Genomic DNA, 19,927 nt, shown 5'->3' with positions numbered 1-19,927 from the left:
TGAGCTCCAGTGATCCACCTGCTTCGGCATCCCAAAGTGCTAGGATTACAGGCATGAGGCACCATGCCCAGCCCCAGGAAGAAATTTCTTAGTGGTGATGGAATACTTCTGTATTCTTATTGTGGGGATGGTTACTTGAATCTATGCATGTGATAAAATTTCATAAAACTTGTCCAGGCTCAGTGGCCTGTAATCCCAGCACTTTAAGAGGCCAAAGTGAAAGGATCACTTGAGACCATGAGTTTGAGGTTATAGTGAGCTATGATTGTGCCACTTCTCTCCAGGCTGTCTCAAAAAAATTTTTTTCATAGAATTATATACCAAAAGAAAAAGATGAGTGTCTCTTTGGTATATATCTATTACGTTCCCAACACTGCTTTTGGGACTTTACACATATTACACGCAACATTGACAGTAACTGGCCAAGTGCGGTGGCTCACACCTGTAATCCAAGCAATTTGGGAGGCCAAGGCAAGCAGATCGCTTGAGTACAGGGGTTCGAGAGCAAACTGGGCCATAGTGAGACCTTGTTTCTACAGAAAAAAAAAAAAAAATATATATATATATATATGGTGTGTGCCTGTAGTCCCAGCTACTCAGGAAGCTGAGGTGGGAGGATTGCTTGAGCCTGGGAGGTCAAGGCTGCAGTGAGCCAACATTGAGTCACTGCACTCTAGCCTGGGCAACAGAGTAAGATTCTGTCTCAAAAAATAAAAATAAAAACAAAAGCAAACCAGACAGTCACCTTAGGAATAAACACTATATCCCCAACTTTATAGTCAAGGAAACACTGAGAGTGTAATCACCACCCAGTCACATAGCCAATAAATGGCAAAACCGGATCTAAACCTAGTCTACCTGACTCCAAGGCTTTGGCCCTTTCTCATGTTGCCTGCTAACATACACACAAGCTCCAAGAATGGGGCCTCCATGCTGCCCATGACAGATCTTTCTAGCCCTGATGTTGCCTCGCACCACAGCTGAGTGTCCTGCACTGTGTTTTCTGCACTCCCTGGACAAACACAGAAAGTCCTGCTCTGTGAAGAGGCCATCAAAATTAGCACAGAGATGAGGCATTGGAGAGCAAACTCCAGGTCAAGTCCAGAGAGACAGATGGCTCAGCCCAAGGTCAGGGTCCTTTTTATACCTCACTTGAATTTAGACGGCAGGCCGGGTATGATGGCTCACGCCTGTAATCCCAGCAATTTAGGAAACCAAGACGGGTGGATCACCTGAGGTTAGGAATTTGAGACCAGCCTGGCCAATATGGCAAAACCCCGTCTCTACCAAAAAAACTAGCCAAATGTGGTGGCACGCATCTGTAGTCCCAGCTACTCAGGAGGTTGAGGCAGGAGAATCCCTTGAACCCGGGAGACGGAGTTTGCAGTGAGCCAAGATCGCTCCATTGCACCCCAACCTGGGCGACAGAGTGAGTCTCTGTCTCAAGAAAAAAAAAAAAAAATTTAGATGGCAACCAACTTCCCAAGGGTGTGTGTCTCTGGGATGCCTCCCCTGACTCCCTCCAGGCTGAGCTGCGGACCCATCATCCACACTCCCACATCAGCAGGATTTCCCTTAATCAAGGACCTAGTGTGTGGCTCTAGAATCACCAATGTATCATTTGTTGATGCGGGAGCCTCTCACAGAACTTGGCCTGGGTAGAAGCGCAGTAAGCGTTTGCTGAGTGAATGAATGAACTGCAAGAATCTCATGCAAGGGCTGTGGGCTCAAACACTTTCAGAGGCCAGGCAGACACCACCAATGAATGAGGTTGGGGGTGGTGATTCGTGGGGAGTGGAGAGGACAGGGGTGGAGTGGGGATATGTGCCCGAGCCACCGGGGCAGCTGCCACTCCGCTTGCCCTCATGCTGCCAGGTGGGAATGTGGGCCATCTATTACCACATCTGATTTTTCAAAAGAAGCCAAAAGCCAGTCTTTTATGATGAGCTCCTGATTTTTTCATGTTGTGGACTAATTTTAAGCTTTTTAAATTAAGTGAGGGCCAAATGAAACACATATGCTTGTTGAATACTGCCCAGAGGACATGGTTTGGAATTTCTGCTTTGAAACTTCAGGATGTTCCAGCGTTTCTGATGCAGTGACAGTGATTTTCCTGATGACTACGAGACAAAGGTGTCCACAAGCAGGTAAAGGAAAGCCAGTGTCACCAACAGCCATAAGCCAATTCCATGTGGATGGCCTCCTCTGCTGGCATCCCACTGGGAGGGGCTCCAAGAACTGGTAAGAGCTCTGAAGGCAGGGTTGCAGGGAGGGCAGGGAGGAGGGTACAAATGACCTATGACTGCTGGTTGGCATAGTATAAGACTCTTGTATAACTTGAATTCTCATGAAACATGCATTTTTGATGGATTATTAGATTATTTTCATCTTTGCACTAGTGGCACAAAGACCAGACAATCCCATGTAATGGATAAAAGATAGTGCCACTTGCACCAGACAGAGAGAAGCTAAGACAAGACTGGACAAGGTCCTGGGAAAGAGGCCACAGGTGGCAAATCCACCCCACCTGAAGGACCTCATCTGGGTGCAGACTTCTACCTCCCACCGTTGCTTCAGTACCGGAAGTCTTTCCTTGTTTTCCTCACCAGACAGTTCTTTTTCTCAAACTAAGGAAACGAGCACACATCTCAGAATGGCCCCAGTTCAAATCCATTCGCTGACTGTGATGAACAGCTTTGGAAGCCCCATTTGTCCATCTTTCCAACATGACTCATATATGTTGATATCACACATCCCGGATGTGATAGGATGAGGGCACTTCATCTCTTAGGTATTCTTCCCAAAATTCTGCAGTCCCAGTCTAATCATGAGAAGACCAGAAACTGTCACCAGTCAGCAGAGACTAAGGAGACATGGACACTCAACGCACCACGGTGTCCTGGATTAGGTCCAGGAAGGGAAAGAGGCCATTATTAGTAAGATAACTGCTGAGACCTGAAGAAAGTGTGTAGTCCAGTTGAAAAATCATGGATCTAGGCCAGGCAAGGTGGCTCACACCTGTAATCCCAGCACTCTGGGAGGCCAAGATGGGTGGGTCATTTGAGGTCAGGAGTTTGAGACCAGCCTGGCCAACATGGTGAAACCCCGCCTCTACTAAAAATACAAAAGTTAGCTGGGCCTAGTGGCACGCACCTGTAATCCCACTACTCAGGAGGCTGAGGCAAGCGAATCACTTGAACCTGGGAAACAGAGGTTGCAATGAGCCGAGATCGTGCCACTGAAGTCCAGCTTGGGTGACAAAGCGAGACTCCTTCTCAAAAAAAAAAAACCAAAAAACAAAACAGCCGGGCTCAGTGGCTCACCCCTGTCATTCCAGCACTTTGGAAGGCTGAGGTGGGCAGATCACTGAGGGCTGAGAGTTTGAAACCAGCCTGGCCAACATGGTGAAACCTCATCTCTACTAAAAATACAAAAAATTAGCCAGGCATGGTGGCACGCGCCTGTAATCCCAGCTACTTGGGAGGCTGAGGCAAGAGAATAACTTGAACCAGGGAGGCAGAGGTTACAGTGAGTGGAGATTGTGCCATTGCACTCCAGCCTGGGCGACAAGAGCGAGACTCCATCTTAAAATAATAATAATAATAAACAATAAATAATAAAATAAAAATGATGGGGCAGGGTACAGAGGCTGACACCCATAATCCCAGCACTTTAGGAGGCTGAAGCAGGTGGATCACCTGAGGTCAGGAGTTCAAGACCAGCTTGGCCAACACGGTGAAAAAATGCAAAACTAGCCAGGCATGGTGGGGTGCACCTGTAGTCCCAGCTACTTGGGAGGCTGAGGTGGGAGGATTGCTTGAGCCTGGGAGGTGGAGATTGCCATGAGCTGAGATCGCATCGCTGCACTCCAGCCTGGGTGACAGAGTGAGACTCCGTCTCAAAAAATAAAAATAAAAGTTAAATAAAAATAAAAACAGTTAAGATTGCCAAATAAAAATAGTTAAAATTTTATATTATATGTATTTTACCACACTTTCTTTTCTCTCTCTCTCTTTTTTTTTTAAGACAGAGTCTCGCTCTGTTGCTCAGGCTGGAGTGCAATGGTGCAATCTTGGCTCACTGCAACCTCCATCTCCCAAGTTCAAGCGATTCTCCTGCCTCAGCCTGCCGAGCGGCTGGGATTACAGGCACCCACCATCATGCCCGGCTAATTTTTGTATTTTTAGTAGAGACAGGGTTTCACCATGTTGGCCAGGCTGGTCTCGAACTCCTGACTTCAGGTGATCTGCCCAACTCGGCCTCCCAAAGTGCTGGGATTACAGGTGTGAGCCACTGCACCCAACTCACAATTTCTTAAAATAATAAAGAAATCAACACAGATGTGACTGATTGTATATGTGCGTGTGCATGTGTGTGTACACATCTACATTCCCCAGCTGTATCCACTGAGAGGGACAAGGAACAGCCTCATCCTAGTGGCAATGAGCACATGTAGCATCCAGATCTTGACTTCTAAATACCATTTTCAAAAAGGAGAACCAGGATCTTTGGAGAACAGACTGATTCCAGGGCTAGGACAAAAAACATACGGATGCTTCTATAACAGCTTGTACTAAAAAGCTCAAAGAATGATGGGTCACCAAAAAAGGGCACAGCTGCGAGCTTGAGTGGGTTCCCACTGGCCAAACTGGGAATTATTATTATTATTATTATTATTATTATTTTTGAGATGGAGTCTCACTCTGTTGCCCAGGCTGGAGTGCAGTGGTGCAATCTCAGCTCACTGCAACCTCTGCCTCCCAGGTTCAATGGATTCTCCTGCCTCAGCCTCCAGAGTAGCTGGGACTACAGGTGTGTGCCACCACACCTGGCTAATTTTTGTATTTTTAGTAGAGACGGGGTCTCACCATGTTGGCCACGCTGGTCTCAAACTCCTGACCTCAAGTGATCCACCCGCCTCAGCCTCCCAAAGTGCTGGGATTACATGCATGAGCCACTGTGCCCGGCCTGGGAATAATTTAATTATTACAGTGAATAGTGAGAGTCATGGATTATAACCTATTGCATTCATGAGTCCATGCAGACATAGATAAATCACTTGCCCAAGATCACAATGGGATAAGATAGCACTGGGGACGAGGGATGCTCACTCTCATTTTCCTTTAGCACTTCTTTCCCCCCAGATACTGTGAGTGGGAAGGACATGACACAGAGCAAGCTGGAGGCCCAGGAAATTCCTAGAGAGAGTGTCCAGGACATATGGACTTTTGAGATCTGCCCAGTGTCATTTCCTGTTTCAAATCGTGCTGGGGGAAGGGAAGGTGCAGGAGGTGCAGTGAGGGAGGGGCTATGGGGGTGAGAGAGGCCGGAGAGCAGGGAGGAGGCTGGTCCATCAGCTGTGGCTGCCAATGATGCCTGGTAGGGGGGGTACGGGTGAGGGACCTCCTGGAGAGCAAGGTGCCCACATCTGGTTCACATTGAAGGGTAAAAACAAACAGGTTCGTGAGCTGGAAGAAGCCCAGTGGACTGAGCCAAGCCGTGCTGCTTGGACACTAGGGCACAGCATCCTCTCTTCCATGGGTCACTGGGCCTGGGCAGCTCCCAAGGGCTTGCAGAGGGGACGCAATTGGAATAAGGCTATCTTCTCTGCTTGGAACCACATTATCTGGGTCCAGCTCCTCCTAATGTACAAACCAGCCTCATTCTGTGTCCGGAGAGGCTGGTTCTTTGATTTGTAGATGACTCATTTCAGGCCCTTGAACGAGACTGAGACTGCACACGTGCCAAATGTCACCATGTCCACCCACAGGGCTTGTTTGTGCTTCGTGTAATGTCTCCCTTGGCTGGGAAGAGACAATGGCTTGCTGTAGGATCTGGAACAACTTTCTTAACTTCTATGAGCCTCAGTTTCCCCTGCTATAAAATGGAAACAACAGTTCCTCCTTAAGGGGTCATGGTTGGCCTACTAGAGTTACTGAGTATCGGGCCCAGCCACAGTGCCAAAAAGCTCGCAATCAGCGTCCACCATTCCTACCGGTCATTTGGACTCCAGCCTTCTCTCGTCTATTGGGTATTTAAAGTTAGCCTGTAGCCCCAGCTACTTGGGAGGCTGAGGTAGGAGGATCACTTGAACTCGGGAGGCAGAGGTTGCAGTGAGTCAAGATCGTGCCACTGCACTCCAGCCTAGGTGACAGAGCGAGATTTTGTCTCAAAAAGATTTTTAGGAGAAAAAGACTTTCCTCTAGGCCAGGCGTAGTGGTTTACACCTATAATCCCAGCACTTTGGGAGGCCAAGGCAGGTGGAACACCTGAGGTCAGGAGTTCAAGACCATCCTGGCCAACATGGTGAAACTTTGTCTGTACTAAAAATACAAAAATTAATTGGGCATGGTGGTGTGTGCCTGTAGTCCCAGCTACTTAGGAGGCTGAGGCAGGAGGATCACTTGAACCTGGGAGGTGGAGGTTACAGTGATCCAAGATCACACCACTGCACTCCAGCCTGGGTGACAGAGCAAGACTCTGTCTAAAAAAAAAGTTTTAGGAAAAGAAGGCTTTCCTCTAGGATTTGTATTCCAGCAATTAGTACTATCCCTGGCAATTCGAGGCAAGTGGCAGGCAGACCACAGATGACTTTCCAGTTTTGTTATTTGGTGGCTGTGTGACACTAAATAGCTTCCTTAACCTCTCTTAGCCTCAGCTCCTTCTTCTGTAAAAGCAGAATTCTTGCCCTGCCTCTCAGGTATTTGTGAGAATTCGGAGGGGTAATGCATATCAGAGAAGGGTATGGTTTGTGGTAAATACTATTTTCCTTCCCAGGCCCATATTAAAGGCTCAAAGAATAGTTGTTGGGTGGAGGTGAAACACACCAGGAAAGCACCTTTCAAAACCACCTGGGTACAGCCCTTTCTCTGCTCAGCGTTAGTTCTTTCCTCTTCAGTAAGTGGCACCATGGCCAGGCACAACAGCTCACACCTGTTATCCCAGCACTTTGGGAGGCCAAGGCAGGGGGATCACTTGAGCCCAGGAGTTTGAGACCAGCCTGGACAATATAGTGAAACCCAATCTCTACAAAAAAAAATTTTTAATTAGCTGAGCATGGTGGCACACACCTGTAGTCCCAGCTATCTGGGAGGCTGAGGCAGGAGGATCACTTGAGCCCAGGAGACAGAGGTTTCAGTGAGCCATGATCGTGCCACTGCACTCCAGCCTGGGCGACAGAGCGAGACTCTGCCTCATAAATAAATAAATCGGCAGCAGACAGCAGCGAGCAGATTCATTCTGGAGAGAGCCCTGAGGCCCACATCCTGGCCAGCACCTTGTAGAGACCTCAGCTTCCTACCCTGAACTCACCTCTTGCTGTCCCCAAACTTACAGAAAAGGACGTTGCCCCTTTGCCACATGCAACCAGCTTGCTCTCCTCCAGCGCCCTCCAGGGTGTTCCTGGGGAGTCCGCTTCCGTGGGCCCACTTGTCCGCTGTCAAAAGCCCTTGGCCGGCTGGGCTTGATGGCTCACACCTCTAATCCCAGCACTTTGGGAGGTCGAGGCGGGCGGATCACAAGGTCAGGGGCTCAAAACCAGCCTGGCCAATATGGTGAAACCCCGTGTCTACTAAAAATACAAAAATTGGCCCCGTGTGGTGGTGCATGCCTGTAGTCCCAGCTACTTGAGAGGCTGAGGCAGGAGAATTGCCTGAACCCAGGAGGTTACAGTGAGCCAAGATCGTGCCACTGCACTCCAGCCTGGGAGACAGAGAGAGACTCTGTCTCAAAAAAAAAAAAAAAAGCCCTTGTCCAGGAGCCCCTACAAAGCAAAAGCCCGGGACACCATCCGCCTTGGTCCTTCGGAGAAGGTGAAATTAGACAAACTGGTTACACCTTGGCAAATCATTTGACCTCATTGTGCCTCAGTTTTCTCATCTGTAAAAATGACTTTTTTGTTTTGAGATGCAGTTTTGCTCTTGTTGCCCAGGCTGGAGTGCAGTGGCACGATCTCGGCTCACTGCAACCTCTGCCTCCCAGGTTCAAGCGATTCTCCTGCCTCAGCCTCCCAAGTAGCTGGGACTACAGGTGCCTGCCACCACGCCTGAATACTTTTTTGTATGGGTTTTACTGTGTTGGTCAGGCTGGTCTCAAACTCCTGACCTCAGGCGATCTGCCTGTCTCAGCCTCCCAAAGTGCTGGGATTACAGGCATGAGCCACCACGCCCAGCCCCTTCATGCAGTTTCTCTCACTCCTTTCAGAAGCAAGGAGTCTGATATTCCATCAACATGGAATCCACTGCTATAAACCAGCCTGCAGTCCCAGCTGGTGAACTACAATCCAATCAGGGATTAAATCTAAATTCCTCCCATCTGATCAGTGGGATCCCTACACATCCAACTCACCCCTTCCTCCTCCAGAAATGTTATCAATCCCCTACATGCCTCCAATAACCTGTTTAACCACCAGCCAAGAGCTTACTACTCCCCCTCTCCCAAGCTTAGACACTCAGTGTAATTAATGGACACGCAACATTGGGAGCTTTCACATTAAGCTCTTACTTTGAAACTTTGAACATGAAAAAGAGCAGAAAAAAGCAGATCTCCTAATCTCGGTGAAATTGTAGGTAAAACTCCAAGTAGAATACCCAAAATAAATTGTATAAGTAATGATAATATATCATAATGTATTTATCATATGCATATATATTAGATATATTTGGAATATATAGGTATTATGTATTCTAAATTTCCATCATCTATCTATCTATCTCCATCTGTCTATCTATAGTCACCCCAAAGGCTAAAAGAAAGTTTTCCACACTCAAGAGTGAAATGGGGCTGGGCTCAGTGGCTCACGCCTGTAATCCCAACACTTTGGGAGGCTGAGGCAGGAGGATTGCTTGAGGCCAGAAGTTCAAGACCAAGACCAGCCTGGGCAACATAATGAGACCCTGTCTCTACAAAAAAATATAAAAATTAGCCAGCTATGGTGGTGCACACCTGTAGTCCCAGCTACTCGGTAGGCTGAGGTGGGAGGATTGCTAAGGGCAGGAGGTGGAGGCTGTATTAAACCATGATTGCTCCACTGCACTCCAGTCTGGGTAACGAACTGAGACCCTGTCTCAAAAAAAAAAAAAAAAGAAAGAAAAAGAAAGAGAGAGAGAGTGAAATGGAACAAATTATACATCCTTTGCATGACAAGAAAGAGGTAGAAGAATAACATTGTGGAGGGCCTGGTTTCTCTGAAGGAGCTGTTGAAATCTGCTCTATGATCAGAAGGGGACATGATTGTAGGTGGAGGCTGGAAAAAGGCTGTTTGAGCAACTGTTTAGATTTTGGGTTAAACCATTTGGCACAGCTTGAAAAATATTATGCTCTCAAAAAAAATCTATTTATCCAAGATCCATCTATCTATCTATCATCTATCTATCTATCTATCTATCTGAAATGAAATTAGTTGCCCCCTTAAACTCCTGCTTTGTAAACTAACACTGACTGAGAGCTTACTTGTTGAGCTGCGTATTCAAATCACCTTTAAAGCACTGGTAGGAGTTAGATACTAGTTTTATCCTCATTTTGCTGAGTTGAAAAGTGAGGCACAGAGCAGTTAAGCAACTTGCTGGACGTCACACAGCTATTAGGTGTCAGAGCTGGATTGAAATTCAAATCTGATTCCAGAGCCAATGCTATTTGCCACTAAGCTCTACTGCCTCCCTGTGGCGGTTTTCCAGTCAGGAGGGAGTCTTCAGCTTTCACAAATACTATACCTCCCTCGCCCACAACACACAGAACTCAGTCTCCCCCTGTTGCTTTTCATAGCAAACCCTATGCCCTGTGTTCATATTTTTGACATGCATAAAATCTTGGCACACCATGAGAAAACAAATACTTTGTTGATGTGTGTGTGTGTGTGAACCAATAACTTCCACTTTCTGTCTTTCTAAACTATTAGAAGGAAAAACATTTGTTCTCACCCTTCCCATTTTTTGTTCGTTTGTTTGTTTTTTGAGACGGAGTTTCTCTCTTGTTGCCCAGGCTGGAGTGTAATGGCATGGTCTCAGCTCACTGCAACCTCCGCCTCGCAGGTTCAAGTGATTCTCCTGCCTCAGCCTCCCAAGTAGCTGGGATTACAGGCCCCTGCCACCATGTCTGGCTACTTTTTGTATTTTTAGTAGAGATAGGGTTTCGCCATGTTGATCAGGCTGGTCACGAACTCCTGACCTCAGGTGATCTGCCCACCTCAGCCTTCCAAAGTGCTGGGATTACAGGCGTGAGCCACCGCACCCGGTCCTCACCGTTCCTATGTAAAGCCAAAAGCATTCACTCACTGTCCATCCACAGCACAGGTTGGAAGCCACTTAGGAGCCCTGGGGGTTGAATCTAGTGAAGAGAATCTGACGATGCCTGGTGCACTCTGGGGTGAATTCATTTTGACACCTAGCTCTGAATTTTTAGAAATATCGTTGTTCTTAATATTGGTGTTTTAGATAAAGGAGGCACATTAGTTTTCTTTTTCTTTTTTTGAGATAGAGTCTCACTGTATCACCCAGGCTGGAGTCCAGTGGTGCAATCTCAGCTCACTGCAGCCTTGACCTCCCTGGCTCAAGCGATCCTCCCACCTCAGCCTCCCAAGTAGCTGGGACTACAGGTGCACACCACCACGCCTGGCTAATTTTTGTATTTTGTAGAGACGGGGTTTTGTCATGTTGCCCAGGCTGGTCTTGAACTCCTGGACTCAAGCAATCCTCCTGCTTTGGCCTCTCAAAGTGCTGGGATTATAGGAGTGAGCCACCGCACTCAGCTGAAATGTTCCATGTCTTTATCTGGATGGTGGTTACCTGGGTGTCCATGTAGGTAAAAATGCATTGAGTGGCTGGGTACAGTGGCTCACTCCTGTAATCCCAGCACTTTGGGAGACTGAGGCAGGAGGGTCACTTGAGTCCAGGAGTTCAAGACCAGCCTGAGCAATATGGCGAAACCCAATCTCTACTAAAAATACAAAAATTAGCTGGGCATTGTGACTTGGGCCTGTAATCCCACATACTCATGAGGCTGAGGCACAAGAATCACTTGAAGCCGGGAGGCAGAGGTTGCAGTGAGCCAAGATTGCACCACTGAACTCCAGCCTGGATGACAGAGTGAGACCTTGTCTGGGAAAAAAAAAAAAGCATTGAGCGGCACGCTTCAGATTACAGCACTTCACACTCATTACTGAATACAAATTGCACATAAGGCCAGGTGTGGTGTCTCACGCCTGTAATCTCAACACTTTGGGAAGCCAAGATGGGCGGATCACCTGAGGTCAGAAGTTCGAGTCCAGCCTGGCCAACATGGTGAAATCCCGTCTCTACTAAAAATGCAAAAATTAGTCAGGCATGGTGTCGGGCACCTGTAGTCCCAGCTACTTGGGAGGCTGAGGCAGGATAATCCCTTGAACCTGGGAGGTGGAAGTTGCAGCGTGCTGATATCGCACCACTGCACTCCAACGTGGTCGACAGAACAAGACTCGTCTCAAAAAAAAATTAAATTAAAAAGTTGTACCTTATTATAATAAAGACAATAGAAAGGGAGGAATCTAGGAGAATAAGTTGTTGTAAGGGTGAACAAGGTTCATAAAACACACACGCACACACCCTGTGGTGGTTGTGAGGACTGGTGTGGTACAACAGAGGAAGAGAAGGCAGGGAGACCAGAGTTGAAGGCTATTGCATGTTGTCCACGTTTTAATCTCTTAGGCAGAAAAGGGCAAAGACATGCCCTTTTCATTGTCACCAGCTTTACTTTTACCTTTTAAAAGTAAATTGTTGGCTGGGCGTGGTGGCTCACGCCTGTAATCCCAGCACTTTGGGAGGCCAAGGAGTTCAAGACCGCCTGGCCAACATGGCAAAACCCCATCTCTACTAAAAATACAAAAAGTATCCATATGTGGTGGCAGGCACCTGTAATCCCAGCTACTCGGGAGGCTGAGGCAAGAGAATCGCTTGAACCCACGAGGTGGAGGTTGCAGCGAGCTGAGACCATGCCATTGCACTCCAGCCTGGGCAACAAGAGCGAAACTCCGTCGCAAAAAAAAAAAAAAAAAAAAAAAAAAGTCTACAGAATTTGTCAATTGTCATCTTGGGGGGCAATATCTCCCTCGACTGAGAACCACTGCTTTAGATAAAAGCAAAATCTTAGGCCAGGCTCGGTGGCTCACGCCTGTAATCCCAGCACTTTGGGAGGCCGAGGTGGGTGGATCATTTGAGGTCAGGAGTTCGAGACCAGCCTGACCAACATGGTGAAACCCTGACTCTACTAAAAATACAAAATTAGCTGGGTGTGGTGGCACGTGCCTGTAATCCCAGCTACTTGGGAGGCTGAGGCAGGAGAATCACTTGAACCTGGGAGGTGGAGGTTGCAGTGAGCTGAGATGGCGCCATTGCACCCAGCCTGGGCAACAAAGGCAAAACTCCACCTCAATTAAAAAAAAAAAAAAAAAGCAAAATCTTAGACTTGTCCATTTTTGGGCCATTGCCTGAAATCCTGGACAAAGGCCTAACTGACCCAGTTAAAATGCCAGTATCTGAGCCCCACTGTTACGCTGAAGCAAACCAAGGAGGCAATGAATTACGTGTTGCCTAACTTGCTTCTCCCTTGCAGTTTCAATTGCGTTAGGCAGCCAGCTTCCCTTCCTCTCCACTGTTTGAATTGTTGCTGCCGGGCAAAAACTGCAGCTGGTCCACCTCAGAGCTGGCCTCATTTCAATAATAGCCGGGAGGACTGGCATGGGGCTTTCCAAGCTTAATTAGCTCATGTTTGTAGAGTTCCTTAGGAAGCTCAGGCCAGCATGCTATGGGAAGTCCAAGTTAGTAGGATTCTCGCCACACTTAGAAAACGAACATTCCCACATAAAAAGGCTGGTAGAGGCAGAAAAGAACGCCTCGGAGCGTGTGTGTGAACAGCGAAGGGTCCTTGTGAACCACATTTGAGACCATAAAGAGAGTAATGCATTCCAAGTTTCAGGCCCTCCTCCTACTCTCTACAGCAGGAAATTATTTAAAGTATTTCCTGAACAGCTGAAGTATGTTAGAAACCTGCTAGCATCCTCCACAGTATCTCCAGGAAATGGACACCAAAGAATTTCTTTGTAATGAGAAACTATCTGAGCTCTACTGGCCATTTCTACCTGAACAGGTTGGATACTCTCAGCCTGGGACCTGGAGAATACAATCTTCTTAGATCATTTTTATGTCAAACTTAGCATCCTACTGCAAGAACACACACTGGAAGAGAATTCCTCTTATGTATGCACATATATATGAAGAATTCTCTTATATATATAGTATACATACACATATATTAGTATATATCAAGAGAGACAGAGACAGAGACAGAAAGAACTTTGTTAGGTAATTTAGCAATGTCAGTAATAGCTTGCTAGTTAGTTATTCCCGCTCAATCTTCGGGTGGGGCAAGAATGAGGTCAGCCTCTTTTGTTTTAGGCAGAATTCTAGAACATGCAACACAAGGAAACTGCTTGGCCCCATCCCACCTCTAGAGATTTGTTCTCTCCAAGGCCTGCCTATAAATCTCCCAGGGTGGGGTTCCAGAAGAATGGTGCCCCAGCAAGCCAAGTTTGAACCTCCCAAGCAAATCGCATTGGAATGTTGGTGGGGTCACAGGATCAAGAGCCATCTGGGAGCCAGCTGTGACTGGGGCTGATTCCCATGATTTCCTATGAGAAGGGCAAGTATGATCACTACAGCAGAAATACCAAAGAAAAATGGCAATTGTTACCTCCAGAGCAAAGAACAAGGCCTAGAGCAGAGCCAGTTCCTGAAGAGAATGACAGATCTGATTATGCTGGTGAAGGCCAGGCAAGTTCTGTGCTTCCTAACTAGTTAGACTTTCCTTCTGCGGCAGCGAAGCTCGGATCCAGAGCTTGGGAAGTGTGGGACTTGCCTCTCTGAGACCTGGCTGTCAGCAGGAGGATGAGGAGCCAAACACATCCCATTGTTACCACCCACCTTCTGGGGCTTGCAGGGAAACTGTGAACTCCTTGCCAAACGAGATATAAGCCCTTGCCATCTTCCCTTTCCTGGGACAAAGGAACCACACAAGTTTTCAGTGTTTCATCATGCTTTTGGAACGAATGTCAACCAAAGGCCATCTTTTAAGGACAACAGCTAAAACGCCTGTCCAACTAGAGTTCTTTAGTCAATGGCAGTTACATTCGTTCATCTGAGGTCTTACACTACTTAGGATCAGGGAGTGACATTTAAAAAAAAGCGACAGGGTGCAGTGGCTCATGCCTGTAATCCCAGCACTTTGAGGCCACGGTGGGCACGTGTCCAGAACTGGTGGGTTCCTGGTCTCACTGACTTCAAGAACGAAGCTGCAAACCCTCGCTGTGAGTGTTACAGCTCTTAAAGAGGCGTGTCTGGAGTCTGTCCTGTCTGATGTTCAGATGTGTTGGGAGTTTCTTCCTTCTGGTGGGTTCATGGTCTACGCTGGCTCAGAAGTGAAGCTACAGACCTTCACGGTGAGTGTTAACAGTTCTTACGGCAGCGCATCTGGAGTTGTTCATTCCTCCCGACGGCCTTGTGGTCTCGCTGGGCTCAGGAGTGAAAGTTGCAGACCTTCTCGGCGAGTGTTACAGCTTTTAAAAACACCGTAGACACAAAAACTAAGCAGTAGTAAGATTTATGGCAAAAAGCAAAAGAACAAAGCTTCCATGGCGCGTAAGAGGACCTCAGCAGGTTGGCAATGCTGGCTCGGGCAGCCTGCTTTTATTCTCTTATCTGGCCCCACCCACATCCCGCTGATTGGTAGAGCCGAGTGGCCTGTTTTGTCAGGGCGCTGATTGGTGCGTTTACAATCCCTGAGCTAGATAGAAAGGTTCTCCACATCCCCATCAGATTAGTTAGATACAGAGATTCGACACACAGGTTCTCCAAGGCCCCACCGGAGCAGCTAGATACAGAGTGTCCATTGGTGCATTCACAAACCTTGAGCTAAACACAGGGTGCTGATTGGTGTATTTACAATCCCTGAGCTAGACATAAAGACTCTCCACGTCCCCACCAGACTCAGGAGCCCAGCTGGCTTCACCCAGTGGATCCCACAGCGGGGTCACAGGTGGAGCTGCCTGCCAGTGCTGTGCCATGCGCTAGCACTCCTCAGCCCTTGGGCGGTCGATGGGACTGGGCGCCGTGGAGCAAGGGGCGGCATTCGTTGGGGAGGCTCGGGCTGCACAGAAACCCACGGAGGCGGAGGAAGGCTCAGGCATGGCGGGCTGCAGTCCCGAGGCCTGCCCCGTGGGAAGGCAGCTACAACCCGGCGAGAAATCGAGCGCAGCACCGGTGGGCTGGCACTGCTGGGGGACCCAGTACACCCTCCGCAGCCGCTGGTCCGGGTGCTAAGCCCCTCACTGCCCTGGGCCGGCAGGGCCGGCCGGCCGCTCCGAGTGCGGGCCCGCCAAGCCCACGCCCACCCGGAACTCCAGCTGGCCCGCAAGCGCTGCGCACAGCCCCGGTTCCCGCTCGCGCCTCTCTCTCCACACCTCCCTGCCAGCTGAAGGAGCCGGCTCTGGCCTTGGCCAGCCCAGAAAGGTGCTACCACAGTGCAATGGTGGGCTGAAGGGCTCCTCAAGTGACGCCAAAGTGGGAGCCCAGGCAGAGGCGGTGCCGAGAGCAAGCGAGAGCTCTGAGGACTGCCAGCACGCTGTCACCTCTCAGGCAGATCACAAGGTCAGGAGTTCTAGACCAGCCTGGTCAACATGGTGAAACCCCGTCTCTAAAAATATAAAAATTAGCTGGACACAGAGGTGCATGCCTGTAATCCCAGCTACTCAGGAGGCTGAGGCAGGAGAATCACTTGAACCTGGGAAGTGGAGGTTCCAATGAGCCGAGATCGCGCCATTGCACTCCAGCCTGGACAACAAGAACAAGACTCCGTCAAAAAAAAAAAAAAAAAAAAAAGGCCGGGCGCGGTGGCTCACGCCTGTAACCCTAGCACTTTGAGAGGCCTAGGCCGGCGGATCGCCTGAGCTCAGGAGTTTGAGACCAGCCTGGTCAACAACAGTGAAACCCCGTCTCCACTAAAATACAAAAAATTAGCCGGGCATGGCAGCATGCGCCTGTAGTCCCAGTTACTCGGGAGGCTGAAGCAGGAGAATCGCTTGAACCCGGGAGGCGGAGGTTGCAGTGAGCCGAGATCACGCCACTGCACTCCAGCCTGGGCAACAGAGCGAGACTCCATCTCCAAAAAAAAAAAAAAAAAAAAAAAAAAAAAGCACATTTACAAAAGTGTAGGAAATAGGCCGGGCGCATTGGCTCACATCTGTAGCACTTTGGGAGGCTGAGGTAGGTGGATCACCTGAGGTCAGGAGTTCAAGACCAGCCTGCCCAACATGGTGAAACTCCGTCTCCTACTAAAAATACAAAAATTAGCTGGTCATGGTGGCGCACGCCTGTAATCCCAGCTATTCGGGAGGCTGAGGTGGGAGAATTGCTTGAACCTGGGAGATGGAGGTTGTAGTGAGCCGAGATTTTGCCACTGCACTCCAGCCTGGGCAACAGAGTGAGACTTCATCTCAAAAGAAACAAAAAAAGAAAAGAAATGGAAAGGAACTACACCTGAAACTTGTAATATTTTGAAGGTAGCTCTGCCTTTGAGGGCCTAATTTTCCCCAGGCTATATTCCCCTTTCTTTGAAAAGCACCCACATGTATTTAACAGTAAACTGTGCATACAGTTTCAGAGGTTCAGGAGCCCCATAACCTATCTTGGATCTCAGGTTACACAGGTTAAGAATTCTTATTCATGCCAAAATATACAATCCAAAGGTAGAATTTTAGGTTATTATTTTAATCTTTGTGGTATTCTGTTTTTCAAACTTTCTAAAATTAGTATTATTTCTGTAACTAGGAAAATACATTTTAAAGAGTTACCAGGAAGAAAAGGAAGAAAGAAAGAGGAAGGAAGGAAGGAAGGAAGGAGGGAGGGAGGGGAGAGAGGGAGAGAAAAAAGAAAGAGTGACAGAAAGAGAAGAAGGAAGGAGGGAGGGAGGGGAGAGAGGGAGAGCAAAAAGAAAGAGAGAAAGAGAAGGAAGGAGGGAGGGAGGGGAGACACGGAGAGCAAAAAGAAAGAGAGAAAGAGAAGAAGGAAGGAGGGAGGGAGGGGAGAGAGGGAGAGAAAAAGAAAGAGTGAGAGAGAGAAAGAGAAGAAGGAAGGAAGGGAGAAAGAAAGGGAAGGGAAGGGAAAGGGATGGGAAAGGGAAGGGAAAGGGAGAGAAAGTAAGGAAAATGAATTAGTTTTGTGTTCCCCAAGTTAATCTTTGCTGAGTGGCTGAGATGTTGGTTGAAAGGATGGGCAAGAACAGAGTAGGGTGACAGTCATTGGTCACCTACAACTTTAGTCTAAGACAAAGGGTTGAAAGAGACCATCTTGGCCAGGCGTGGTGTCTCATGTCTGTAATCCCAGCACTTTGGGAGGCCCAGGCAGGCGGATCACCTGAGGTCGGGAGTTTGAGACCACCCTGACCAACATGGAGAAACCCCATCTCTACTAAAAATACAAAATTAGCCTGGTGTGGTGGTGCATGTCTGTAATCCTGGCTACTCGGGAAGCTGAGTCGGGAGAATCTCCTGAACCTGGGAGGCGGAGGTTGCAGTGAGCTGAGATCACACCATTGCACTCTAGCCTGGGCAACGAGAGCAAAACTCCATCTCAAAAAAAAAGAAAAAGACCATCTCATTCGTACATGTTTTTCTACATTTCTCCTCTATTTCAACAGTTTTGCTTTTAAAATATGTATTTTTGCAGCCACAATCGGGAGATGCCTTCTGGATATCATCCTTTGACCATTAATTTTAATTTTGAATTGATTCAAAGTTTTCTCATTCATCCAATCTTTCCTCATATTCCCTTGTTTTTATGGATAAGCTTCCAATATTTCTGCCTAAACTTGTTCAAGTTCTAAACATGAGTTTCTTCATAGTAGAAAATATGGCTTTGTGGTGGCTGTCTCAACAGTCAAGTGTTTGCTCATTAAAGAAACTTCATTAACACTAGTATTAGGGGCCTATCAGGTATTGATACTGACAAGCTTCCATCACCAAGTTGGACTTGGGTGGTTCAGTCCTGTTCTCATGGCCAATGAGAAGTTAGGGGAGGAGGTGCTCCAATTATTACGTCCAATAGAATTAAGAGAAAGGGAACCAGTGGGCACAGGAAGACAGCTGGACCTCTCACTGAGATACTGCAAAGGCTAACAGCCAGTCTAGGAACTTAGTCACAGTGGGCCCTCCTTGAGCCAGTTCCACTGTTCAGAAAGCTATGCCAAGCCCCTAAAAGACCTAAAGGCTGACAAAACATCTGACTTTTCGGTAGAATCCCATCATTAAGTATATGAACAATCCAGTATGGTCATCTTATGTTATGTGTATCTGACTGATAAGGGGGAAAAAAAAAGAAGAGTAATAATCAACTTAGCCTAGAAGGTAAAATATATCAAAACAAGAGTCTATGTAAGAACAAACAGAAATCTTTGGTGTTAAAAGGTTGGAGGCAGCCAGGTGCAGTGGCTCATTCCTGCAAATCCCAGCACTTTGGGAAGCTGAGGCAGGAGGATAGCTTGAGGCCAGGAATTTGAGACCAGCCTGGGCAACACAGCGAAACTTTGTTTCTTCAGTTATTACAGCTATTCCCAAAAACAAAAAGTTTGGAATAGCCGTAATACTCATCTAGGATATTTCTATTATGTAGGAATTAGTATCTATACTTTTCTTATGCCAGCACTTAGCTGCCCCACCAAAAGGTCTTTCACTGACACAATAAAGAGGCAGGATTTGAATTCAGACAGATCTGGCTCTTAAATACTAGTCCACTTCACTGCACCATGCTACCTCCCACAACTAGGATGGGAAAAGACATTTACGATTGTGAAAAGCCTGGAACGCACGAACTGATCAGTTTAAGAGGGTTCGATGCATACACCTCCTACACAGTGTTATGAAACTGTCCCAAATATTTAGGAGGAACTGAGCGTTCAGACACTAGAATTAGCTTTCAAACTATGCCAACATGTCATTTAACATGCAAGTGCTCAAAATTAAATTGCACTTCTGCCCTCAAAAAACCCTAGTTGATAGCTTGGGTGTTTCTTATCATTTTTATTAGCTGGGGTTATGAAACTTAAATGGGTGATGTTGCTAAAACACTTTTCTCTAACACTTTCCCATGGGGAGTTAGAGGGAGGCTGCATGATTTGGCCGGGTTTTGTTCATCACAAATTAGGTCAACAGCCCAATCCCAAAAGAAAGCACCATTAGTGAAATGACACGTTTCAAGGGCTTTCCAAAATCAGTCCACTGGGTTTTGGCAAGCTCCAGCAAGGGTGGAGAGGGGTAAGGAGCAGCCAGGCCTTAATGGCCTTCTGAACTTGGGTCCTGTATCTGACAAGGTTTCCAATGGCTCCTATGAACAAAACTGACTTTGCTCTTACTGCTGTTATGCAATTAAAGCAGCCAAATGCTGAAATAAAAAATCTTAACAATAAGGATTTACAGTAACGAAAAATTACCCCGTTTTTTCTTCAGTGATGATGCAGCCAGATTGATGAGAGAAAAAAAAAATCAACATTAGGAAACAGAATGTTGATTTCCTTTGTTCTAAAAATAATCAAGTAGCCTGATTATTTTTAGCCAAAATGCAATATAGCAATGAAAGAATACTTTGTGAAATGTTTAACACTGACATCTTTTAATGTTACTCTTTTCAGATTATTTCAACAAGCAAAGTAAGTGTCAGCAGTTTTTACTATAATTGCCAAATGGTATTAGGAATATTACCTTTCCTCCCTTGCTTACAACAAAAACAAATACAAAAATTAAAGTTATAGGTAAAGATATATTATCAAAGGGGATTTTTTTTTAGACAAGAGTCTCGCTCTTGTCACCAAGGCTGGAGTGCAGTGGCGCAATCTCAGCTCACTGCAACCTCCG

General features: G+C 47.2%; 1 annotated feature.

Annotated features, from left to right (window-relative positions):
• Positions 18,909-19,109: a silencer, noted in NCBI's record as "peak2956 fragment used in MPRA reporter construct". NCBI's record gives its function as "represses an SCP1 promoter by STARR-seq MPRAs in K562 erythroleukemia cells {active_cell/tissue: K562}" and the evidence as "EXISTENCE:reporter gene assay evidence [ECO:0000049][PMID:32103011]".

The sequence above is a fragment of the Homo sapiens genome, chromosome 17 (genome assembly GCF_000001405.40).
Source record: "Homo sapiens chromosome 17, GRCh38.p14 Primary Assembly".
NCBI lineage: Eukaryota > Metazoa > Chordata > Mammalia > Primates > Hominidae > Homo > Homo sapiens.
The sequence above is the reverse complement of the archived record's forward strand: the minus strand, read 5'-3'. Positions and strand labels throughout refer to the sequence as shown.